Here is a 26,668-nt window from a genome sequence, read left to right as displayed (position 1 = left end):
GGTCCTTCAATGATGTGACCATATAGATGCTATTCAATCTTAGGGATTTCAGAAGGCCAGAATGTTAGACATTCTTTTTTTTCTTTTTCTTTTTCTTTTTTTTTTTGAGATGGAGTTTCGCTCTTCTTGCCCAGGATGGCATGCAATGGCACGATCTCGGCTCACCGCACTCTCCACTTCCGGGTTCAAACGATTCTCCTGCCTCAGCCTCCCAAGTAGCTGGGTTTATAGGCATGCTCCACCACACTCAGCTAATTATGTATTTTTAGTAGAGATGGGGTTTCTCCGTGTTGGTCAGGCTGGTCTCGAACTCCCAACCTCAGGTGATCCGCCCACCTCAGCCTCCCAAAGTGCTGGGATTACAGGCATAAGCCACCATGTCCGGCCTAATTTTGTATTTTTAGTAGAGACGAAGTTTCTCCATGTTGGTCAGGCTGGTCTTGAACTCCTGACCTCAGGTGATCCGCCTGCCTCAGCCTCCCAAGGTGCTGGGATTACAGGAGTGAGCCACTGTGCCTGGCCGACATTATTTTCTTTAGGGAAGTATGGTAATGCACTTAGACTATGCTCCATCTGCAAACTTGTTTGACACTCAATGTACTTTATAAATTTCTTATAATCTCTAAGTCCCCAGAGTAGGTTTTAAATAAATTATTTCCATAAGTATAAAATATAAAACCAATATATTTATCAAATGCGCCCATAGCACTGTAAAAGATACACAGAAGTATTTGAATGGTCCCTGCCCAAAAGGAACCCGAAATATAGTCAAGAAGATATAAACTCAGGAAAATGTAACTACCATCAATGACTTCAATAACAGCTTAAACCATGAAAAGAAGCACAAAGCAACACCTATTGATTACTTGCCACAGGAACAGGAAGAAACTGCTATGGGGTTTCAGAGAAGGGAGTAATTACTCCAGTCCATGGTGGTGTAAAAAGGTTCTACAGGAGAACTGGATTTGAAATGAGGTGCATCTTAAAGAGCAAATGAGATTTGGAGAGGTCAGGCACAAACAAGAGAAGATCAGAATATCCTTCATTAAGCTTCATTTAACACACTAACTGCTTGCTGAACTCATTCTGTGTCATGTACCAAGAATACAAAGGTGAGGTGCTCTGTGTGACCCATGGTCAAATTCCCCTTTGTAGGCCTGAAACCCCTCAAAACTTATCATAGGATAACAATTAACAATTAACTATTTTCCCTGATAGTGGGAAACAAACGGGACTGGCAAGTTTTTTATGACTGTTCTTTTAAAATAAGTCACACTTTTCATTTGAATTTACCTTTCCCCAAAAGGTAAATTTCATATATTGCAATAAACTCAATGTATCCTCTTGCAATCTTCTTGTAAAAAAAATCTCTTCCCAGAACTTTTACTTACTATTTAATATTGCCACTAAAAAACAGGCAGGCACTTGTCCACCGAACCAAACATAGATGAAGGATGAAGTAATGACTGGATCTCAATATTGCACGTCACTTTTGTCACAAGAGTACAATAAAGAGCCAGGAGTCTCTCTATTTTGAAGCAGTCATCTAATCATTCTAATTAATGGGCACAATTTTTTGTGTGCAATGGTTTGTGTCCAAAAAGATAAGTGGAGGTGGGGTGATGTGGACTTTACATAAAGGTTCATTTCACAATTTTGACCCTACTTTCCAAGGGCCTAACTGATTAGCTCAGGGTGAGTACCTGATATGAGCTGGGGAAATGTAAATATCTCACATGTGGCCCAAAGTCCTGGCCAAAGCACTATTCTGGGATTTTTTATTTTTTATTTTTTAAAGCTAGAACTAGGAATCAAAGTCAATCCTTTTCTGGTGGTAAAAGTCATGAGGATGAAATTGAGGAGGTATAAAGCAACCACGATTTTGCCATGTGGAGAAGCGTGAAAATTTCATGTAAACAACTATCTCTGAACAACCTTAGCATAAAGCTACAAAAATATGTCACACCTTATCAGTCTTAAATATATCAAACTTTAATAAGAAGAGAGAAAATGTACATTGATATTAATGTTACTAACCTTGTTTGTTCTTGGGTTCAGCATAAGTGGCTTGCCTTTTTCTTTTATGTGCAAATGTCGACATGCCAAAGTACAAGTGGTGGAAACTACTCTTAACCGGGACAACATCTTTTCTTTCACCTGAGAAAAACAAAGCAAATAAACCACTGAAGAGAATCATATTATAGGCCTTCATGTCCATCGGGTATCAGTTTTCAAAACACATTTATGTTTCCACAGGCTGCAACAGTTTTAAAAAGGTAACAAGAGGCGAAGGTGAAAACTTACTTTTTCTGATAACACTCTTATGTTCTTGGGAAATAATCACTGCTACTCTTTAAGTACCACCTACTATGTATCAGACACTGCAAAAAACATTTAACCTCTTTCTAGTCACACAAGTGTGGCAAGGTATGCATCTCCCACTTGTAACAGAAACACATTAAGAGGTAACATAGTAAATAGCAAAGTGAGTTCCATTTTAATGAGTGAGAGTTTAGCTTGAAGGTGGAAAAGTAAATAATAAGAAAGCAGAGACACAGAGGAAGAAAAACTATCCTGATTCTTAATCTAGACCTAGAATTTTAATGGACTATGTTTAATGTTTAAATTTAACGTACTAGAATTTTTTGTCTTAGAAAACCTGTTATTTAATATAAACAAATCATATAAATTGGCTAGAAAACATATAAAGTAATTGTAATTACTTTATATAAAATAATGTATAAAATAATTGCATCCATCATAAACATGGACATTTTTAAAGAGAAAACTATACATTAAATCTAAAATATTTAGTGATAATAGTCTTCTACTTACCAATTATCTCACCAAAAATCAGAATTTGAAATGCTTATTTATTTCTTTAAACATTACAAATCATTGTAATTATTATGCTGTGAAGTTTTTTAAAATGGATTTCTATTTGTGGAGAAATCCATGATATGTGTGAAGGGGCAGCAAAACCATTTACATAAGGATTTTTTTTTTTTTTGAAGCTCATATATCATAAAAGTAACCATTTTAAACTGAACAATTCAGAGGCATTTCAAAAAAATTTTTTTTTTTTTTTTGAGATGGAGTCTCGCTCTGTTGCCCAGGCTGGAGTGCAGTGGCATGATCTCAGCTCACTGCAAGCTCCACCTCCCGGGTTCACGCCATTCTCCTGCCTCAGCCTCCCGAGTAGCTGGGACTACAGGCGCCCGCCACCACGCCCAGCTAATTTTTTTGTATTTTTATTTTTAGTATATAAGGGGTTTCACTGTGTTGTCCAGGATGGTCTCGATCTCCTGACCTTGTGATCTGCCTGCCTCGGCCTCCCAAAGTGCTGGGATTACAGGCGTGAGCCACCGTTCCCGGCCAAAATAGGGATTTTTTTTTTTGAGATGGAGTCTCTTTCTGTCACCCAGGCTGGAGTGCAACGGCGCGATCACGGCTCACTGCAACCTCTGCCTCCCGGATTCAAGCTATTCTCCTGCCTTAGCCTTCTGAGTAGCTGGGATTACAGGAACCCGCCATCATGCCCAGCTAATTTTTTTTCTGTATTTTTGTAGAGACAGGGTTTCACCATGTTGGCCAGGCTGGTCTTGAACTCCTGACCTCAGGTGATCCACCTGCCTCGGCCTCCCAAAGTGCTGAGATTACAGGCGTGGGCCACCGCGCCCGGCCAAAAAGGGATGTTTTAAATGTGTTGCTTGATCATTTATTCCTGGACACTGAAACACTCCAGTTTGCAAGTAACTTTGCTGAAGTTGTTTTCTGCCTCCCATACCACTTCCATCCATCAACCTTTGAAATCAAGTGTGATTTGATGTTTCAAGACCACTTGTATGAGGCTTAGAGTTTCATCAACACATCCATGTATGGATGGTAAGCCTGATATTAAATATGACGCAGTCAGGGTTAGAAGACCTTCAACATTGCCAAGAATGTTTCACTCATATTAAATAGTCATAGATGTAATTAAACTGTAAATAATTAAAGCATGAAGGACATAAATGAAAAGAATGTCTGAATGATTTAAAAGGTTTCCTGTTCTTTGTCAAAAAAGTGGAAAACACTGTACAGGTAGCCAGGCCAAGATAGTAGGGATGGTTTTGTTCACAGCTTCAAAGAAGAAATTTAAGAATTAATTGTGGGCCTTAAGAAAACACTGACAAAGAATGTAGAAAATGGGAAGAGCAGAAAGAGTAAGAGGAAAAGGCAGCAGTAGAAAATCTTCAATGTATTGTTAAAAAAATGATTTAATTTCTGAATATGTTCTGTCAGTAGAACAAAACTACAAAATCACACGTAGGAGATTTGAGACCCTTTTAAGAAATATCTGAGCTGTTCAAAAGACAGTAAGACAGAAAAATAACCAGTAGCTGAGCCTACACAAACTTTTTGAGTCAAACACAAGCCAATTACTTCCTCAGTTACCAAGGCTAACTACTGGGGAGGCATCAAACTCTAACAAATTCCTGATGGCCTTTTCAGGGGAAAGGTAACACAACATATTGAAATTATGTATTTTGCTCATCTGAATGGTCTTATTCATTAAGCAGGTGCTACATCATTATCCTCATCCTTTTTCATTGCTGGATTTTTATCATAGCCGTAATAGTGTAGCAGAAATAACCATGATGAAAAGTAAGTGTTCAGGTTTCTTTTTAGAAATTAATTTATGCTACCATCTTGATGCTTTAAGTTCAAAATACCATAAAATTACAATTTTGCATATACACTCTTTATTACTATTATTCTGTATATTTATGCTTATTATTTTATAATAAGTATTGAAGCAAATTTAAAGGTGTTTTTTTTTTTTTTTTTTTTTTTTTTTTGAGATAGAGTCTTACCCAGTTGCCCAGGCTGGAGTGCAATGGCACGATCTTGGCTCGCTACAACCTCTGCCTCCCGGTTTCAAGTGATTCTCCTGCCCCAGCCTCCCGAGTAGCTGGGATTACAGGTGTGCGCCACCATACCCAGCTGATTTTTTGTATCTTTAGTAGAGACAGGGTTTCACCATGTTGGCCAGGCTGGTCTCGAACTCCTGACCTTGTGATCCGCCCACCTCGGCCTCCCAAAGTGTTGGGATTACAGGCGTGAGCCACTGCACCTGCCCTTAAAGAGTAATTTTTTGCTATACTTTTCACTTCATGACTCCACTGAATTGTTTTTCTTAGAATAAAAAAGCAGCATTATTTTGGGCCCATTTACAACGAAGGTCTAAAGCTGCAGATGATATAACTGCCACCTAGAAAATCTGAGACAATCAACTGAAAAAAATACTAGAACTAATAAGAAGACTTCAGCAAAGTGGCTGATTATATCAGCAATAATAAGTTAAGATATGTAATAGGATAAAAGATTCTATTTACAATACTAATACAAATTATAAAATACCTAGGAATACACCAACACAGAAACTAACAGACATAAAGAAGTCCTAAATATATGGATAGAAATACCCATTTCTGGATGGGAATAGTCAACAGTAAACATTTCAGTTTCCCCTCAAACAATCCACAGTTCTAAGGCAATTCCAACAAAAATTCCAAGAATATTTACAGAGCTTACATTTTTATTTTTTTAGAGACAAGATCTCATTCTGAGCTCAGGCTAGAGTGCAGTGGCACAATCATAGCTCACTGCAGCCTTGAACTTTATGGAGCTTTAGACTCAGCTTAAATATATATTTGAAAGAGCACATGTGAGAAAATCCAAGAAATTTTGAAAAAGAATAGGTAGAAGGATTTGCCACTACAGTTAGCAAAACCTTTCAAACAGATTAAAGATATTAACATTTTTTCAAAAAGTAAAGCAACTATAAAGAATTACAAGTCCAGGCCGGGTGCAGTGGCTCACCCCTGTAATCCCAGCACTTTGGGAGGCCGAGGCAGGCAGATTGTTTGAGTTCAGCAGTTCGAGACCAGCATGGTCAATATGGTGAAACTCCATCTCTACCAAAAAAAAAAAACCCACACACACAAAAATAAAATTAGCTGGGTGTGGTGGTGTACACCTGTGGTACTAGCTAAGTTGGGAAGACTGGATGAGTCTGCGAGGCAGAGCTGCAGTGAGCCGAGACTGTGCCATTGCACTCCAGCCTGGATGACAGAGTGAGACCCCATCTCAAAAAAAAAAAAAAAAATTATAAGTCCAATTCCAGGTGGGCGTCCTGGTGTCATGGAGTAATGGGTCTGTGACCAATGCCCCCCACAAATTTGTGTGATACTAGAGACACCATACATACACACCATCCTTCACTGTCTATGGCAACAAGAGTCTTCTGCTATCTTAGCCTCTTTGTGGGAGTGAATTCTTTTGGGGATCATGCGGAACCAATTCTGTGCCATTTAAAAAATTCCACTCATGTCTATGGTATTCTAAACCTGCAAAGCTACCTCTGGGACTTTCCATGAAAAAGGCTTATTGGCTTAGGTGCTTATGGAATAAATTAATTGGCTGTATTTATGAGAAAATTTTGCAGAGACCTCTCATCTTTTCAGAGACCTATGAAAAGACACAAAAGGAACAGAGCAAGCAGAATTCAGATTTAAAACAAAGTAAAACTCCTTTGTATGCTCAAACTGCCTGCTTTGGATCCCCTGTGGGATTTATAAAGAAGGCCACTCCACCTTGTAGTCTGGTAGTTCAGATTAACCTTCCTCGGTGTCTCCTCTGACATATTCAAACTCCCTCTTGAAAAAGCTTAAATTCTCTCTATTTGAAATAAGCTAGTTTAAAAATTGTTGGTAAAATAGGAATGTCTCAAAATTGTCAATATTAAATATAATTCAGACATTTTTGCCTTGGGTCTACTGGTTAGATTTACACAGTTTCTTCTACGTATTTTAAGGTCATCAAACTATTGCTCCTGAGATATTTTTAATATTTGTTTGATTTGTCTGAGCTTATGTTTTTGGTTTTGAGCCTTTAAATTCTGCAGTCTACACAGGTGACCATGGTGAGGCCCAGGTACATACGTTTATCTTCAGTACCTGGGCCACCAGCTGCAGGGCAGAGCCAGGCTCAATATGGCCCTGCCCTCCTGGTCCAGCAGTGCCTCCTGGCCATGCTAGAAGGGGTTGGGTCCTCCAGACGTAGTCGTAATAGCTCTGTCCAGAACTCTGTACCTGGTACATAGCAATTAAAATTGCTTCCTACTAGGTTTTATACTGGAAATTAGTAAGAGTCAAAATTGTAATATATGTAATTAAAACAACTAGATATAAAGAAAAACAATGCTTTTACAAGAAAGGCAGGATGCTTTTTGGTGAGGAAGGTTATAAGAAAGACAAAAGATGTGTTTTTTGTTGAAAAAAGGAATTCTGTCTAGTTTAGAGGTTATTTAAAGGTTTCATAATGAAGGAAAAAATGATATAGATAAAACTAAATGGATAAAACAAGTTGGGGAAGAAAAAAACCTGAAATAATTTTGTAAGTAGTTGTAAAAAATTTACGGAAATCTTATGTTGTGTGGTCAAAGCTGACTGAGATTGAATTTGTTTATAAGGTTTTATTAAAATTCACTTTAATAATAATACATTGAGGCCCTGCACAGTGGTGCATGCCTGGAATCCCACCACTTTGGGAGGCTGAGATGGGTGGATCACTTGAGCTCAGGAGTTCGAGACTAGCCTGGGCAACATAGTAAGACCTTGTCTCTACAAAAAGTACAAAAAAAGAAAATAATAATAATATATTGAATTTGGTTTTCTCTTCTGAAGATTTTTGTGTAGTATTAATAAAAAATAACAAAATATTATAGTTTGCCTTTTGAGTAAGCTGCAAAATAGAAGAAACATTCTGTTTGCATCATGCTGTCTTTATTAGGCCTTTTGATTTTTTTTTGGAAAATGGGGTTGCTTTTCTATCAAAGAGTGAGGATTCTTGATTTTTGAAATCTCTTGATTTTTGAAATCACTTCAGCTAAATGAATATTATTTCATTTCATCACAGTGACCTTTGATACTATTTTTGATCAAGTGTTTTAAACCTTTGACATAATTAACAGGCTTCCCCAAATCAAATTTCAAATTCTAAATTACATCTTTTTGACCTTAAACTAACTCTTGGACATTCCAAAAGGGCCTGTGGAAGTCCAAGCGAAACATATTAGGCTTATTGGGCATGTTAAATTATATGGGAAGCATTGCCAAATAAGAATAATGTTTAACCATTTCCTAGAATCCCATTAACATGAACAGGTTAATATGTGTTCCAAAACTGCATGAGATTCCTAGAAATCTGATACGTCTTAGGAAATGTTGTCAGTCATAATTCTAATGTTAAATTGTTATATGTCACAGAAATAACTAAATTTCCTTGTCAAATGTATCATTATTAGGAACGCTTAACAAGTCTTTAACCATGGCCCATTTTTAAGTCTTCTTATCCACAATAAATTGCTTTATTCTAATATGTCTTCAAAAAATCCCCCTTTATTATAAAGGATACAGATGAAGAGCCAGATAAAGAGATGTAGAGGGCAAGGCATTGGGGGCAAGGGGATGCAGGGTTTCCATGCCCTCTCTGGACAGGCCACTCTGCCAGCACCATGTGTTCAGCAACCCAGAAGCTCAGCAAATCTTGTCGTTCAAAAGTTTTATAGAGCTTAATGTCCAGCACCCCCTTCCCCAAAGCTCATGGATAGGGCTGAAAGTTCTAACCCTCTAATCACTTGGTCTTTCTAGTGATCAGCCATACCCTGAGGCTGCCTAGGGGCTCTACCCTAAGTCACCTCAGGTGACTAGCATACACTCAGGTGTGATCAAAAGGGGATCATTATGACAAAAAACACTCCTATCATGGGGGGGAGGGAATTAATGGATAAAAATATACAACTTGACAGAAGGAATAAGACCTAGTGTTAGATCAGTAAGGTGAATATAGTTTATAACAATCTACTGTACATTTAAAAATAGCTAAAAGAGAAGAACTGGAATGTTTCTAGTATAAATACAAATATTGAAAGTGATGGATATCCAGAATACACTGGCTTGATCTTTACAAATTATATGAATATATTAAATTATCACACGTACCCTGAAACTATGTACATCTATTATGCATCAGTTTAAAAAAAATTTTTTTTAAAGACACTCTTATCATTCAGGAAATCCAAGGGTTTGAGGAGCTCTGTGACAGAATCAGGAAGATCAATATATTTAGTATAATACCACACTATTTAATACATTGTTATGACCCTGATACCCTTTATAGAGCTTCCTTCCTAAAGCATTAGAGTATGTATCATATTACCAAGTACATAAACCTAAATAGTGCTTTATTCTAATTAGATGTACACACTTAGATTTTCCTTGAATCACAATTATAGTTATCACGAGTCTTAGACATCACCTAGTTTAAATATCTTAATTTAAATGAAAAAAAAATAAAGCCCAGAAACAGAAATGGACATGTCCAATATCACTCAGCTTACCAGTCGTAGTCCAGGGTTTTTATTTTGTTTTCCCTTCCTGTTCCAAAATTTTCAGCCTCTAAGCCTTTGGTTCTGTTGTTTTTGTTTCATAAATGTATTCCCTCCCATTCCTTTCTAAATCCCATTTTTCAAGACAAAATTTCATTTCGTATATTTTCATTTTTTTTTTTTTTTTTGAGACAGGGTCTTGCTCTGTTGCCTAGGCTAGAGTGCAGTGGCATGATCACAGCTCACTGCAGCCTCGACCTCGGGGGCTCAAGCAATCCTCCCACCTCAGCCTCTCAAGTAGCTGGGATGACAGGCATGTGCCATCATGCCCAGCTAATTTTTGTAGTTTTTTTTGTAGAGAAAGAGTTTCACCATTTTGCACAGGGTGGTCTCCAACTTCTGGGCTCAAGTGATCTGCCAGCCTCAACCTCCCAAAGTGTTATGATTACAGGCGTGAGCCACTGAGCCTGGCCTCATTTCTTAATTAAGCAATTTATCCACCACCTAACTTCTTATATAGCTCTTTAGTTATCTATTTCTGATATTCCATCTTTTCACTTCAATTATTTTATGTCTATATTTCTATTTGGTTCTGTTTTATGGTCACCAGTTCATGCTTCATAACTTTAAATTCTGGCTTCATTAAATATTTATTTTAAAGATCTTTTCTAATGTCTTTAGTGCCTGGATATAAATTTTCAGTCTCTTTCATGGCATAATTTTTGTCTATAAGCTCACTTTGCAATCTTTGATGGTGGTCCCATACACGTTGTGTGTTGTGGAAACCAACCCTTGGAGGCAGTTTTAAGTTTGCCTCTATATGAGATCCTGAGAGTTTACAAGCTAAAACTAGTTTCTACATTAGTTTCTGTGTTAGATGGTTACATACCTCAGGTAGAATTCCAAAGCCAAATTCAAACAAGTTGAGGTTTAGGATTCTACTTATGGTGTGGGATGGATGGTTTAATTCTCGTCTCAACCTCAGTGAGGATACAGTCTTCATTTATGGAGAGAAAAGTGTTTCCCCATTCTCAGCTTCCCAAAATATGTCTAGTTTTGATTCTGAAGGTTGAACAGGCCTTGGGAACTCAGTTTCCGTCTCCTGGCAAGCAATAAACACTTCAGATCCTAAGTAGTATTCATGTACTGTGTTTGTTCCCTGTCTACCCATGGAACATTTGTCTTCAATCAAGCTCACTGCTATAGGTTCTTTCTTCACTCCTGCATGTGGAGATTTCTCTCTTGCTTTCAAACTTGGCTCTGTGTTGTTTCAATTTTACTTACCATCTCTGTGTTTTTAGAGCAAGAAAGGGAGATTTCAACATGTGACTAATCGATCACTTTAAACTGGAAGTTGATTCAGTTTAAACATATATTATACTTATTTACTCATCTATTGAGCACCTACGTCAGGGCCGGAATGAGGCCTAGGGTTAGTATTGCTCTCATATTCTTACTTAACACTACAGGAATCCATGTCTTTTTAGCTGCTGTGAAACTTACACCATCAGATTTGGTTTTCTTTTTTCTTTTTGCGACAGAGTCTTGCCGTCACACAGGCTGGAGTGCAGTGGCACGATCTCAGCTCACTGCAGCCTCCGTCTCCTGGATTCAGTGATTCTCCTGCCTCAGCCTCCTGAGTAGCTGGGACTATAGGCATGCACCACCATGCCCGGCTAATTTTTTGTATTTTTGGTAGAGACGGGGTCTCTCTATGTTGCCCAGGCTGGTCTCAAACTCCTGGCCTCAATTGATCTGTCAGTCTTGGCCTCCCAAAGTGCTGAGATTACAGGTGTGAGCCACTGCATCCAGCCAGATTTGGTTTTCTCTAGGTAAACATCAAAAGCATTAAACAGAATCTATTAAATCACCACCATGCAGTATTCTCTTAATGTTCTATTACCAGTAAGTTATAAAGTCCTAAATAAAGCTCTCCTTTGTGCTTTTTAAAAGAAATATGAACATGAACAAAACCAAGAAAAAGAACTTGGCCAGGTGCAGTGGCTCACGCCTGTAATCCCAACACTTTGGGAGGCTGAGGTGAGCGGATCACTTGAGGTCAGGAGTTCAAGACCAGCCTAGCCAACATGGTGAAACCCCATCTCTCCTAAAAATACAAAAATTAGCTGGGCAGGGTGGTACGTGCTTGTAATCCCAGCTACTCAGGAGGCTGAGGCATGAGAATCTCTTGAACCTGGGAGGTGAAGGTTACAGTGAGCCGAGATCATGCCACTGCACTCCAGCCTGGGCAACGGAGTGAGACTCCATCTCAAAAAAAAAAAAAAATCTAACTTACCCTTTCTCAATTTTAAATTAAAAAATAGACACATACCTGTATAGGCTTCCCAAGTTTTCCTTTTTTTTTAAATTTTAAATTTGTGTGGGTATATAGTATAAATATATACACACACACACATATATATAGAACCAGCATTGTGTACTTATGAATTGTCTTCACTATCTGAATCTAATAATGGATATCTATTAAATGTGTACAATCTAAAAGAAGAAACAGTGGTAGAGCCTGCTTTGAGCAAACTCCATTGATTTTATTTTTAAGAGAGAGAATTTGCTATATAAGAGAATTCTTCACTGGACTTCTTTAAATAGCAAGATTTTTCAGGCTATTTTTAAATTTTAAGTTACTCAAATTTGACTTTTATACATCTTTTCAGGATTATCTTGCATAAAAGCTCCATGTCACTTTATTTCCATTTATTATTATACTGCAGAAAGTACCAGCAGTTGGCTCTAAAAGTACAAATTATATATACATGTTTCTACACTTTTAAAAATTATTAATCAGTATCATATGAATAATAATGTTAATTATAGCAGCACAGTGTTAAAAATATATATATATACCAAGTAGCTTTCTCCCCAGAATCCCCAACATGGTGACAAAAGTATTATTAACAAAATTGGGATGGTTGATACTCTGCTAAGTGATGAAAAAAAACCATTTAAATTTTATAAATTGTCATTTAAAAAAAGTTTTATATATTTTTTTTTTTAGAGACAGTATCTCACTCTGTCACTCAGGCTGGAATACAGTTGTATAATCACAGCTAACTGCAGTCTTGAACTCCTGGGCTCAAGTGATTCACCTGCTTTAGCCTCCCAAGTAGTTGAGACTACAGGTACAAGCCACTGTGCCCGGCTAATTTTAATATTTTGTACAGCTGGCGTTTGCTATGTTGCCCAGGCTGGTCTTGAACTCTTGGCCTCAAGCAATCGTCCGATCTCAGCCTGTGAGTTGCTGGGATTAGAGGCATGAGCCATCACACCCAGCTAAAAAGAAGTTCTAAAAGAATTCATCATATGTTTATGTGGCTCTTCCAGGAGAGATAGCATTATTTACTACAGTTAAAACTTTGGGCCTGGCGTGGTGGCTCATGCCTGAAATCCCAGCACTTTGGGAGGCTGAGGCAGGCAGATCACCTGAGACCAGGAGTTCGGGATCAGACTGGCCAACATGGCAAAACCCTGTCTCTACTAAAAACACAAAAAATTAGCTGGGTGTGGTGACCGGCGCCTGCAATCCCAGCTACTCGGGAGACTGAGGTGGGAGAATTGCTTGAACCCGAGAGGCGGCGGCTGCAGTGAGCCGAGATTGCACCACTGCACTGCAGCCTGGGCAACAAGAGCGAAACTCCGTTTCAGACACACACACACACACACACACACACAAACACACACAAACTTTGGTGATTAGTACTGCAAGGTAGGCAAATCTAAAATGGTATGGAATACATTTTATTTTGAATCAAAGGCAATCCCCAAAAAATACATTTTGGAATCAGTAGTTAAGATCAGGTTGCTGATATACGAAATCTTCTATTTTCAACTCCTAGTTAAAATCTTGCTCCTATCAAATAATGAATTTGGGCCTGGCGCAGTGGCTCACGCCTGTAATCCCAGCCCTTTGGGAGGCCGAGGCAGGTGGAACATGACGTCAAGATTTCAAAGCTATCCTGATCAACATGGTGAAACCCAGTCTCTACTAAAAGTACAAAAATTAGCCGGGCATGGTGGTGCGTGCCTGTAGTCCCAGCTACTCGGGAGGCTGAAGCAGGAGAATTGCTTGAACTCAGGAGGCAGAGGTTGCAGTGAGCTGAGATCACGCCACTGCACTCTAGCCTTATGACAGATTGAGGCTCTGTCTCAAAATAAACAAATAAATAAAATAATGAATTTGGCTTGTATATAAAGATAACACCACCTCTCAAATCTACCTCATAGAAAACTGTGATGATTAAATGAGAGAATATATGCAAAAGAGTATTATAATTAAAGATAAAACATATATTATTCAAACTATTAGATAATTTTATTAGCAAGTGATAGAGTAAAATAAAATATAAAAGTAATTTTAATAGTGTCTTTAGTAGGCATAATTAAAAAAAAACTTAAGGAAAAAAACAATCTTTGCCGAAATTGGAACTTAGAACACTTACAGACAGAAACAGACAGGTGGGCTTAATATCTGCTGGAGACAAGACAGAACGAGGAAAACACACACCTAACTCCTTATGTTACACAAAGATGACAGAAGGAGAACTATAGGAGTGAGTGAAGTAAAAACAGGAAATAAAAGAAGGTGGGGATTCGAATTTTGAATGACTAAGTAAAATCAAGCTATTTACTGGAGAGTTTCTTTTTTTGTTTTTTAGACAGAGTCTTGCTCTGTCACCCAGGCTGGAGTGTAATGGCACAATCTTGGCTCACTGCAACCTCCACCTCCTAGGTCAAGCAATTCTCCTGCCTCAGCCTCCCGAGTAGCTAGCACTACAGGTGCCCACCACCATGCCCGTTTACTTTTTTGTATTTTTAGTAGAGATGGGGTTTCACCATATTGGCCAGGCTGGTCTCAAACTCCTGATCTCAGGTGATCCGCCCGCCTCGGCCTCCCAAAGTGCTGGGATTACAGGTGTGAGCCACCACACCCAGCAGGAGAGTTTCTTGAATACTGGAATATGCCCGTGGTTTCTTGCCCTGGTATGGTCACTGCCTTGCCCCTTCCATGAGTAAGCACAGACAAAAGAACTACCTCAAACAGGGAAGCAGTGGAACTCACCCTCTGGGTGGTATTTACAAACTGGACTGGGACTAAAGCTGTTAAGACATTGGCTGCTGGAGACTATTCTCCCTGGCCCCCTACCTGGAGGGAGAAGGAAATAGTCAACACCTGAGAAAGACTGTTCACAGGAGACCAAAACCCTAGACACTGTTCACTAGAAAGAGCTCATGACAGGGCAACAAGCACAGGCTTTGCTGTCAGACAGACTGGAGAGTGAATCTGGACTGGACTCAGCTAATTACCAGTTCAGAATCAGTTGTGTCACCCAGGCATTCCTGAATGATCTCTGAATTGGTGTTAGTTTAGGACATGTTTTTGACTGGTCTATGACCAAAGGAGGAAAAACTAACACAATGTAATATAGTTTTTCATAATATTAAATTTATTCTGTTTTTATGTTGTAACTATGACCTTCCTACCTTTGTGGTGGTAAAAATGTCCCTTTTTTAAGGAAAGGATCAGGACAGTAGATTGCAGTAGTTTTTTTGTTTGTTTTTTTGAGATAGAGTCTCAAAAATCACTGTCGCCCAGGCTGGAGTACAGTGGTGTGATCTCAGCTCACTGCAACCTCTGACTTCCAGGTTCAAGCGATTCTCCTGCCTCAGCCTACTGAGTAGCTGGGATTATAGGTGTGTGCTACCATGCCCAGCAAATTTTTGTATTTTTAGTAGAGACGGGGTTTCACCATGTTGGGCAGGCTGGTCTCGAACTCCTGACCTCAAGTGATCCATCCACCTCTGGCTCCCAAAGTGCTGGGATTACAGACATGAACCAATGTGCCTGACCAGATTGCAGTAGTGTTTAAGAAGATTCTCAACCTTGACAGAAATAAAAGTTGGAGATCTTACGTCTGGTCCCAATTGTCCCCCACACATAACAGTTTTTTACTTGTTGGCAAAGTCCAAAAGTCTGGAAGCCATTGACTTAGATGTTTCATTTTTCTCATCAATAAAGTGGGGGAGGGGAAACTTGCAGAATTCTGTGTAGTAATGTTGATATATACATATTATTAATAGTGTCAAGCCTTTAGAGCTTTACAATAGCATCACTATAAAGAGCTTGACTACTTGATTTCAAAGTTTGCTTTAAAAAACCCATACGAAATAGTCTAGCAGAGTGGTCAAAGGGCAAGTTCTGGAGTCAAACTGCCTGGATTTAAATCCCGTGGCGAACACCTGTAATCCCCAGCACTTTGGGAGGCCAAGGTGGGTGGGTTGCTTGAGCTCAAGAGTTCCAGGTCAGCCCGGGCAACATGACAAAACCCCATCTCTACAAAAAATTTAAAAACTAGCTGGGGGTAGTGGCACACACCTGCAGTCCTGGCTACTTCAGAGGCTGAGGCAGGAGGATGGCTTGAGCATGGGAGGTTGAGGTTGCAGTGAACCATAACAGCACCACTGCACTCTAGCCTAGGTAAAAGTGAGACCCTCTCTCAAAAACAAAAACAAAACAAAATAAATCCTGGCTTTGCCATTTGCTAGCTCTGTGATGCTGAGTAAATCACAACCTCCCCAATTTGCATTTTCTCATCAGTAAAATGGGAACGTTAAACTACAAGACCTATTTAATAGGCTATTTTAAGATTTAAATTAGATAATTCATTAAGATGCTTATCACAATGCCCTCTAGGTGCTCTAGAAAGGCTAGTTATCATAAGCATTACTATTAGTAGTTGTAGACTAAGGTGGTCACAAGGTGCCTTCTAAATGCCTGCTTGTTTCTGCATCAACATCTTTTAATGATCAAATTAATATAAGAGGCTATAAGGATAATCATGATTAACATTTATTCAAAATATTTCAAATCAAATCTCAAAGTCAAGAATGAGAATCTGGATGGTATACAAATACAGGCAACATCAAATGTCATCCTAAACAAGTATATACAGAATATATTTTTTATCACTTTTGAAATTTGTACATATTGATCAAAGGAGGTACAATATGCCACCATAAAATCAAAATCGTAACTTTCAAATAAAATAGTTAATTTCTAATAAAAGTTATCTTTTTATAAAGTCAATGTAATTTTTATTTAGTGTGAATTTTGTCCTGTAATATTAATCCTTAGTAAATATAGGTTTTAATGTTATTTGTGTTTTAAAATACGGCTAGTTCACCGGGCATGGTGGCTCACTCCTGTAATCCCAGCACTTTGGGAGGCCGAAGGAGGTGGAGCACTTGAGGTCAGCAGTTCGAGACCAGCCTGAAAAACATGGTGAAACCCTGTCTCTACTCAAAATACACACACACACAAATTAGCCGGGCATGGTGGTGCATGCCTGTAGTCCCAGCTACTCAGAAGGCTGAGGCAGAAGAAGCGCTTGAACGCGGAAGGCAGAAGTTGCAGTGAGTGGAGATCGCAACACTGCACTCCAGCCTGGGCAACAAGAGCAAAACTCCGTCTTAAAGAGAATAAAATATGTCTAGTTTGTCTGAAATTCACCAAAATCAATTAGAGTTTTTAACTTAATATACAGATTATACATACATAGCTGTAAGTTTTTAATTTTACAAAAGAAGTTCCCAAATGGTAAATGGGTTTTTTCCTTTATGAATATTTTGTTTTCATAAATATATTAAAAGACAAAAACATATAAACACCCTCTAAGGGTGTCACCCATAAGCAGTTCTCAGAAATAGCTACTAAGCATAAATATATTATTCTCAAGAGAATATTTCTACAGAAGCATAGCCCAACATTTCCTATTAATGCATGATAAAAGTCATATTAGGAGCTAGGCGCGGTCGCTAACGCCTGTAATCCCAGCACTTTGGAAGGTCAAGGTGGGTAGATCACTTGAGGTCAGGAGTTCGAGACCAGCCTGGCCAATACGGCGAAGCCCCCGTCTCTATTAAAATTACAAAAATTAGCTGCCCTCAGGTGATCCACCCACGTCGGCCTCCCAGAAGTGCTGGAATTACATGCGTGAGCCACCGCGAACGGCCTATATGTATGTTTTTAAAAACAACTGTTTCTCTCATCTAATTTACAGAGTATTTGTAAATTGAAAATCAAAATTATGGGTACAACATCGCAATTAGCTTAACAACATGAGCAATGCTTAAGGAGTATACACGTTTAAGGGAGTGGGGGTGGAGGATGCAGCTATGAAGTTAGACCACTTGAGTTTGAATCTAGGCTTTGTCACGTTAAAACTGTGGTCTTAGGCAAGTTACTTAACCTACCTAAACCTTAGTTTCCTGGTTTGTAAAGTGGAGGCAGTAACAGTATCAACCTCAAAGGGTTATTTTGAGATAATCCGTGTAGAAACTAGCGCTCTGCCTGTCACTAGCAATTAATACATGCTACTATTGTTATCGTTATCAACTGCAACACTAACAGAAATAGCAATGCTATTAACCTCTTTGCTTAGAGGTGATAGCCACAAGCATCAGGAAGGTAAATCCACAGACAGAAGATGATAAAACGTTTTGTAAGAAAGCACGTGTTAATTTGATCACGCTTCTCACCACAAGCAACGTAAATTTTCTAGAATTATCTCTGGAACCAAAAAAGAAAGTCGAAACCTAGGACCACCTAGGTAACACCACATGCAGAGATAGTTATCGCCAGCGTGAAAGAAACACCTGCCAATCCCGGTCCACAGATGGCATTTAATAATAGACGGAATCGGTCCAATCTCAGAACTCTCCAGCCCGCAGCAAGTCTTTTTTTAAAGGGAGGAGCCACACACACAGCCTAACTCCTGCCGTTAACTCGGCCCGACTGAATAAAGGAGATAGGCTTGCCAAAGGGTTTCCAGCCACAGAAGTCCTTTTGTGGAGGGGTGCAGAAAGAGCGAGAAAGAGATGCTGGCGTTTGGAGGCCCAGGGCCTCGCTCCCGGGCGAGAGCGGGGCGCCCAGGCACCAGCCGGCGGAGGAACCTGGAAATCGCGCGCCGGGTAGAGCCGCGGCCGCTGGAACCTGGGTCGCCGCGATGTAGCCGGTCCCTCGCCCTCAGCCCGGACTCCGCAGACCGCTTCCCTTCCCCCAGCCCCCACCGCCAGGCCGGGAACGGCGGGGGCCGCACGCGCGGAGGCCGGAGGCGCGGCAGCGCTGGGCTCTCGGGGCCGGGCCAGGGGAGGCCGGCGCCCGCTCCTCTCCCGGACCCCCGCCCGGGCCCCACCGCGCCGGGCCTTACCAGAGGTCTCGCGCCGCGACAGGTGGTACACCCGGCGGAGAGGCCGCGCCCTGCCGCCCGCCCTGGCGATGCTCAGCTCCCGCGCCGCCCGGCCCTCCCCTTCTGCGAGCCTCCCGGAGCCGCCGTCAGCTCAGGCTCACACTGGCGCGGGCGGCCCCACACGCAGAGGCGGCCCGAAGAGCGGCCGAGAGAGGGGAGGGCGCGAGGAGCCGGCCAGCCGCGGGGCCCGGAAGGCGTGGCCCACGGTGGAGACGGACGGGCTCGCGGGCCAATTGGAGGCAGGAACCGGCCGGAGGGGCGGGCTCCGTCTGGAGGCTTAGCTGCCGGCGCTGGGGTTCCTGTCCTCCGCGCCTTCCTCAACCCAGCTCCTGGAGGTTACGGTTCTGAGGCGGGGCGGGCGGCCTCGTGGACGCGATGCTGAGGATGTGAGAAGTGCAGTGCGGAGGAGGAGGTGGAGCTCCGCCGCTCCATGAAGGAAGCCGGGGCTGGCCGACCGCGCCCCCCAGCACTCCTGGCCCGGGGGTCCCAGTCTCCGAACCCGCGGAGGCCAGGGAAGCTGGGAGTTGGGGTCTGTCCTGCCTGAGCCACAGAGGAAGGGGGAGAACGGGAGGGCAGGAGACGGCAAAGGAAGGAAGAAGAGGACCCAGGAAATGCGAGGCTTCCGCACTTCAGCGACGCTTTCACTTTCCGAGCTGTTTTGTGTGCTTAGGACTTGCTCTTCTGCAGAATTCTTTGCCACTCCTCATGGCTGCTGGCAAGGTTATTGGCCTGCGGTGAATTTACCAATCACCTCCACTGTCACAGTCACCATAAATAGATGCTCAATGTTCTGCCTCAGAAAAGCACCGGAACACTTAATTGTCTTGTCCTTGAAAGCCGCAGGGACCGTGCCTTCCAACATCCCTACCCCCGCCCTCCCAACGGTTGTGACATGGGAGGATATTTCTTCACCCTTATTTCAGAAAATGTTATCACCCAAAACTCTTTACTATAATGAGCTTGTGTACTCTTAAAACAAGGCATGGTAATGACAATTTCAAAAATAAGATGTAAAATATAAAAAAAGAGGCAAGGCAGAATAAAATTAAAAGTGATGGAAATGTAGGATTGAGAAGATGGAGTGGAAGTAGGGAAGAGTGAATTGCTCCCTCCTAAACTCTGACAATTAAATAAAATCTGGGGCAATCGCCCCTCTCTGAACATTGAAGGGTGGGGCCTGTGAGGAGGAAACTCCAGTTAGGTGATAATCCATAGGTGTGGTTGCTATAATAACCACCGCAGGCAAGGAGAGGTTATAAATATGAATGACCTAAAGTAACTCTGCTTGCCAGGAACTTACAAGATGCAGCAGGTTGGATGAAGGAAACTAAACATTACCAGTGTCTTTCTACATAAATGCTTCATTAGTAGAGGTGAAATTCTTTTGTCTTTGAAAGACAGTTGTGGGGGTGTTGGGGGGTAGATGGGGAATGGGGAGATGTTGGTCAAAGGGTAAAAAGTTTCAGGAGTAAGTTTTAGAAATATCGCACAGCATGGTGACTATAGTTCATAATGTATATTTCGCAATGGCTGAAAGAGTAGATTTAAAATATTCTCACCAAAAAGAAATAAGCATGTAAGGTGATGGATATATTAGCCTAATTTGATCATTCCACAATGTATTGAAACATTACATTGTATCCCATTGCATTAAAGTATATACATTTTTTTTCTTTCGAGATGGAGTCTTGCTCTGTCGCCCAGGCTGGAGTGCGGTGGCGTGATCTTGACTCACCGAAACCTCCGCCTTGCAGGTTCAAGCGATTCTTTTGACTTAGCCTCCCAAGTAGCTGGGATTACAGGCACCCGCCACCATGCCTAGCTGATTTTTGTGTTTTTAGTAGAGCCGGGGTTTCTCACCATGTTTCCCAGGCTAGTCTCGAATTTCTGGCCTCAAGTGATCTGCTTGCTTCGGCCTCCCAAAGTGCTGGGATTACAGACATGAGTCACCCGCGCCCGACCATAATTATATACAATTGTTTGTCAATTTAAAGAATTTAAGGACAGTTTGTCCTACATTCGAATAATCCCAGATTGAAAGTTGTAGAGAGCTATCATGGAGGGAACTTATTTTGCTTACATTGAAGTCAATTTATTCCTTATTAAATACCCGCTACTGTCAAGGAGGTAGAAACTGCTGTTTTCTGGTCTGCTCTGACAACAATTTCTTTCCCCTTAGCCACTTACAGTGATTGGTCAAAGGCTTCCTAATGAAAACAGAATTCCATCCTGGCTAACTCAGTGAAACCCCGTCTCTACTAAAAATACAAAAAATTAGCCGGGCTTGGTGGCGGCCGCCTGTAGTCCCAGCTTCTCGGGAGGCTGAGGAAGGAGAATGGTGTGAACCCAGGAGGCGGAGCTTGCAGTGAGCTGAGATCACGCCACTGCACTCCAGCCTGGGCGACAGAGGGAGACTCCATCTCAAAAAAAAAAAGAAAAGAAAAAGAAAACAGAACTAACTTTTTCTGCTACTGTGCACACACAGTCACCACAGAACACAATACTTCACCTTTAGTCACCAAAATGTGTGTGGGTTGCTCTTCACCAACAACCAGTTCTTCAGCTGTGACCTGGTGGGTGTCCTATCATTTAACTCAATTCTGATGCTATCTACCAGGAGATAGTGTCGCATCGCACAGGTTGAGGGCTCAGTCTCACAAGAGTGTCCCCCACTTCAGATGCCAGTCACAAGTCCCAGGTTGCCATTACCCTGTCACTGGGTTATATTAATTTGCTAGGATGGCTCACAAAACTCAAGGAAACACTTTACGTACGTTACAAAGGATGTCATAAAGGACACAGATGAACAGCCAGATGGAAGAGATGCATGGGGCACAGTATGTGGCAAGGGGTGTGGAGCTTCCATGCCCTCTCTTGGCTTACCACCCTCCATATGCCTTCACGTGTTCAGCAATCAGGAAGCTCTTTGAACCCTGTCCTTCTGGAGTTTTATGGAGGCTTCCTTACATAGGTGTGATTGATTACATCATTGACCATTGGAGATCAACTCAACCCTTATCTCCTCTTCCTTCCCAGGAGGTCAGGGGGCAGAGGATGGAGCTAAAAGTTCCAATCCTCTAATCACATGGTTGGTTCCCCTGGCAACCAGCCCCCATCCTGAGGCTATCTAGGAGCCCACCAAGAGTTGCCTCATTAGAACAAAAGATGCCCCTGTCACTCAGGAAATTCCAAGGGATTTAGAAGCTTTTTCTCAGGAACCAGGGCAGAGACCAAATATACATTCCTATTCTATCACAATGTCACAGGCTTCTTTTCCTTTACAATATAGTGACATATGGCTATTGAGTACTTGCAATGTGGCTATTTTAAGTTGAGATATACATTGGATTTGCAGACAGTGCAAAAACATGTAAAGAATGGAAATATCTTAATTTTTAAAATATTGATCACATGTTGAAATAATATTCTGTATATTTTCGGTTCATGCAACATATTATTAAAGTTATTTTTTAAACCTCTTTTACTTTTTAAATGTGGCTACAGAAAATTTAAAATTATATACGTAATTCCTATTTGTGGCTTGCACTCTATTTCAGTTGGATCATGTGGGTCTAAGGTGACCCTGTTAGAAACACATACAAGGAAGCTGACGGCCGGGGCTTCTGGAAAGCCTTTTTTAAAAAAAAGAACAGATTCAACTGGCATGTGTCTTTGGCTGTTTTGCTTCATCTCACTTTTTGCCACAGATGTGTAGTGGCATGGCACCCATCATTGGGCCATAAGATGACAAACAAGAGAATGAAGGCCTGCACTCTAAGGATGTCAGAGGAGTAGAAGAGCCTGGGTTCTTCTCCAGTGCACACACATGCATGCTGGAAAAGTTAATACAGCAACCTAACATGTTCCTTTCATGTAACAGCTGCTGAGTGACATATTACATATATTGGGATCTGAGCAGTGAAAAGGCAGGAAAAAGACACATGTAATTGGAAAACATGAGTAATCATTAGTAGAAACATAGTGTCTAAACCTTCTGAAATTTCCCTCTGCTGGTTTCTACAGGCAAGAATTACACTGGCGGATATAACTCCTGGGTTAAATAAAGTAGTCATTACTCTGCAACTGGTTGTGAATTTTCTGCATGATCATCTTAAGCTTTGAAAAATACTGTGCTTTCTTGCATTTACCTTTTATCCCCTATCTGTCCAGCATTCTTGCTTGAATTGAGCTATTTCATCTTTAAATGATACTATTTTGGGCTGAGTGAGGTGGCTCACTCCTGTAATCCCAGCACTCTAGGAGGCCAAGGTGGGTGGATTGCTTGAGCACAGGAGTTTGAGACCAGCCTGGGCAATATGGTGAAACCTCATCTTTACAAAAAAAAAAAAAAAAAATTAGCCAGGCCTGATGGGGCATGCCTGTAGTCTTAGCTACTTGGGAGGCTGAGGTGGGAGGATCACTTGAGCCCAGGAGGCGGAGGTTGCACTGAGCTGAGGTCGCATCCCTGCACTCCAGCCTAGGTGACAGAGTGAGACCCTGTCTCCAAAAAAAAAAAGCTACTTTGATCCAGTAATAGTTATAGTGAGACACTAAGATGTCTCATCAGTTAAAAGACCAAGGGGAATTATATACATCCATAGGTCTCCAGAAATAATGTAAGTGTGTAGTTATTTTTCAAGTATAGAGTTTTTAAAAATGAATGTTAAGGTCTAATATATAGTAGGTCAGGGCACACAGAATCAAAACAGTACTATGATTATCCTTACTACTATTATTACTAATCTACTACTAGTAGTTTATACTTGACATCCTCAATTTGACCTAATAAGAGTTAATGAGCTATTCTAAAGGAGGAAATATAAATGAAGATATTACGACAGGAACAAGATTTTTGTGCATTTTAACAGTAACTGTTAGAAATGATTTTTAGCTCCCAACAACAGAAAACCCAATTAGAGTTGATTTATACAAATATGGGCTTTTTCACAAAAATGTGAGGGTAGGATTTAAGGCTAAACATGGCTCAATCACTTTCTGGATAATCCTTGAGAGAAGGAAAGAATCTCTTCTAAATGCAGGGTCTCTCCAGTAAATGAAGATAAAACCTGACAATTTTTGACTAGAACTATGGCTGAGCAAGAAATATAACTCCAAGCAGAGTATAAGTTATCCATAAATTAGACACCCCAATTATAGATAATCAGGGAATGATAGAAGGAAGGTTGTTTGGATTCCTATGGGGTGGGAGTGGAAGGCATGGAGGGGATGTTTGAAAATTATCTGGACAAATGCCTCAGTTCTTCAAATTTTTTCTTTTTGCTTTTGTTTTATTTTGTTCATTTACTTATTTACATCGAAGGAAAAAGCACACTTTGGGAGTGTGGAATACTTGAATTCTAGGGCTAGCTCTCACACTGTCTTAATAAGAGGCTGGATGTCTTTTTCTCCGGTTAGGTGGACACAATTAAACTTTCCCTATGTATCTCAAAGGGCATTGAAAAGAGGAATGAGACACAAAATATGCAAGAGTTTTGTGAATATTAAAAGGATACAGATGCAAAGTATTCTCATGCAGGCTGTCTGCCTGGCATATAGATGATGTTTGATAAATAATAATTACCATTCATTGAGTACTTACTATTTGCTAAGCGTTGCTCTAAGGCACCTAGTGTATTTTATTTATTTTTACTTTTTTTTTTCTGAGACAGGGTCTTGCTCTATTGCCCAGGCTGGAGTGCAGTGGTATGATCTTGGCTCACTGCAACCTCTGCCTCCCAGGTTCAAGCAATTCTTCTGCCTCATCCTCCTGAGTAGCTGGGATTACAGGTGTGTGACACCACACCTAGCTAATTATTGTAATTTTAGTAGAGACAGGGTTTTGCCATGTTGGCCAGGCTGGTCTTGAACTCCTGACCTCAGGTGATCCACCCTTGGCCTCCCAAAGTGCTAGGATTGCAGGCATGAGCCACTGTACCCCGCCCACCTCATGTATATATTAAAATTATTTAATTATCCTAACAACGCTATCAAGTAGGTATAATTATTTCTGTTTCTTTCTTTATTTTATTTTAGAGATGGGGTTGGGGTCTTGCCATGTTGCCCAGGCTGGTCTTGAACTCCTGAACTCAACGAATCCTCCCATCTTGGCCTCCCAACGTATTGGGATTACTGGCATGAGCCACCGTGCCACTCCTGTTTTTGTCGTTGTTGTTGTTCAAGATAGGGTATTGCTCTGTCACCCACGCTGGAGTGCAGTGCCAATTGTAGCTCATTGCAGCCTTGATCTCCCAGGGTCAAGCAATCCTCCTGCCTCAGCCTCCCAAGTAGCTGGGACTACTGGCATGTACCACCACAACCAGCTAATGTTTTTTATTTTTAGTAGAGACAAGGTCTTGCTATGTTGTTCAGGCTGCTCCTGAACTCTTGATCTCAAGCTATTCTCCCACCTTGACCTCCCAGAGTGCTGAGATTACAGGCATGAGCCACTGTGCCCAGCTGGTAGGTATAATTATTATCCCCATTTTACATATGGGAAAACTGAGGACTTAGAGGTTGATTCATCCAAGGGTACCACTAATAAGTGGAAAGAGGATACAAACTACACTGTACAGACTGAATATTTTAAAATATGTTTATGTACAGTTCAGTGTCTTGGAAAGATTTGAAAGTAAGCTTGGAGCATTATGTCACCCCACTCCCCAACCTGGGAAAGACTTCCCCGCTGTAAGCTGTCAATTAAAAACTGCTTCGTAATTCAAGGACAAATTCTAATCTCAGCTCTTCAGTGAACACTGGTGTAATAGTATGTAAACGCACACTGGAATCACCAGGGAGCTTTAAACAAATTGATGCCTACCTTATACCAATAAAACAAGAATGTTCCGATATGGGTCTCCAACACCCATGTTTCTTAATAGTTCTCATGTATTTCTGTTTTGTATACTTTTATACAACATATTAGAAACTCCATGAGAGTAGAGATTTATAAAAAGTATTTCTTCCTGTATTCCTAAGTCCTCACATATGATTGATACTTGATTAAAGGATAAAACTGTTTTATTGTGCAAATCACTCAGTGTTGACATCTAACGCGGGAGTTCTCACAGTGTGGTCCCAGGCCATCATCATCATCATCATTGAACTTGTTAGAAATGCAAATTCTCAGGCCCCACCCCACAGCCACTGAATCAGAAACTCCAGAGTTGGGGCCCAAGTGTCTTCGTTATAACAAGCTCTCCAAGTGATCTGGACACACACTCAAGCTTAAGAACCACTGTTTGATGTTGTACATTCATCAAGCATTCCTCAGGGCATAATTCATTTTCCTGTATTAAATTTCCTGCTGAGAAAAGGTAATTGGGAAATAGAAATGAAAAAGACCCAACATTTACTTCATCATCAGGGAGTCTATATTACAATATGGAAACAAAGTATTTACTCATGTAAGTATTTAAACAGGCAGTAAGTTATTAAATATTTACAGGTGAAGTGATACAATCATTATATTTCTAATGAGATTGTTGAGGTTGGATGAGGTTTTGTTGTTGTTGTTGTTTGCTTTTGTTTTTTGGTTTTTTTGAGACGGAGTTTCACTCTTGTCACTGAGGCTGGAGTGCAGCGGCGCAATCTTGGTTCACTGTAACCACTGCCTCCCAGGTTCAAGCAATTCTCCTGCCTCAGCCTCCCGAGTAGCTGGGATTACAGGTGGGCACCACCACACCAGCTAATTTTTGTATTTTTAGTAGAGACGGGGTTTCACCATGTTGCCCAGGCTGGTCTTGAACTCCTGATCTCAGGTGATCCGCCCACGTTGGCCTCCCAAGTGTTGGGATTACAGGCGTGAGCCACGGCACCTGGCTCCAGATGAGGTCTTTATGGGGTTCATTATACTACATTTTCTACTTTTGGGTTTAACCAAGCATTTCATTATAAAAGTTTTTTTTTTTTTTTTAATCACCATGTGAAGAATAAGCTCAAAGTGCTATAGTAGTTCAAAAGAAGTAGTCACTTC

At 40.9% G+C, this 26,668-nt stretch overlaps 1 protein-coding gene across 3 annotated transcripts in view, besides 3 other annotated features; it reads right to left on the bottom strand.

Moving 5' to 3' along the window:
- Positions 1 to 18,848, bottom strand: part of ME2 (malic enzyme 2) — a 75,140-nt gene extending 56,292 nt beyond the window's left edge. For all 3 annotated transcript variants that reach the window (NR_174094.1, NM_002396.5, NM_001168335.2), the window contains exons 1-2: positions 18,658 to 18,848; positions 2,038 to 2,157 (exon numbers count right to left, since the gene is read on the bottom strand). Coding sequence is in view for 2 of the 3 variants with exons in the window: in NM_002396.5 (NP_002387.1) it covers positions 2,038 to 2,145 (108 nt within the window). In the remaining variant the exon portion in view is untranslated. The remainder of the gene's footprint in view (positions 1 to 2,037; positions 2,158 to 18,657) is intronic.
- Positions 18,460 to 19,019: a silencer, noted in NCBI's record as "silent region_9458". NCBI's record gives its function as "represses an Ori minimal core promoter by ATAC-STARR-seq in GM12878 lymphoblastoid cells {active_cell/tissue: GM12878}" and the evidence as "EXISTENCE:reporter gene assay evidence [ECO:0000049][PMID:35858748]".
- Positions 18,460 to 19,059: a biological region, named in NCBI's record as "H3K27ac hESC enhancer GRCh37_chr18:48405277-48405778".
- Positions 18,558 to 19,059: an enhancer, noted in NCBI's record as "H3K27ac hESC enhancer chr18:48405277-48405778 (GRCh37/hg19 assembly coordinates)". NCBI's record gives its function as "activates a minimal SCP1, AML or CMV promoter by ChIP-STARR-seq in naive H9 embryonic stem cells {active_cell/tissue: H9 hESC(naive)}" and the evidence as "EXISTENCE:reporter gene assay evidence [ECO:0000049][PMID:30033119]".

Source organism: Homo sapiens, chromosome 18 (genome assembly GCF_000001405.40).
Source record: "Homo sapiens chromosome 18, GRCh38.p14 Primary Assembly".
NCBI classification, from domain to species: Eukaryota; Metazoa; Chordata; class Mammalia; order Primates; family Hominidae; genus Homo; species Homo sapiens.
The sequence above is the reverse complement of the archived record's forward strand: the minus strand, read 5'-3'. Positions and strand labels throughout refer to the sequence as shown.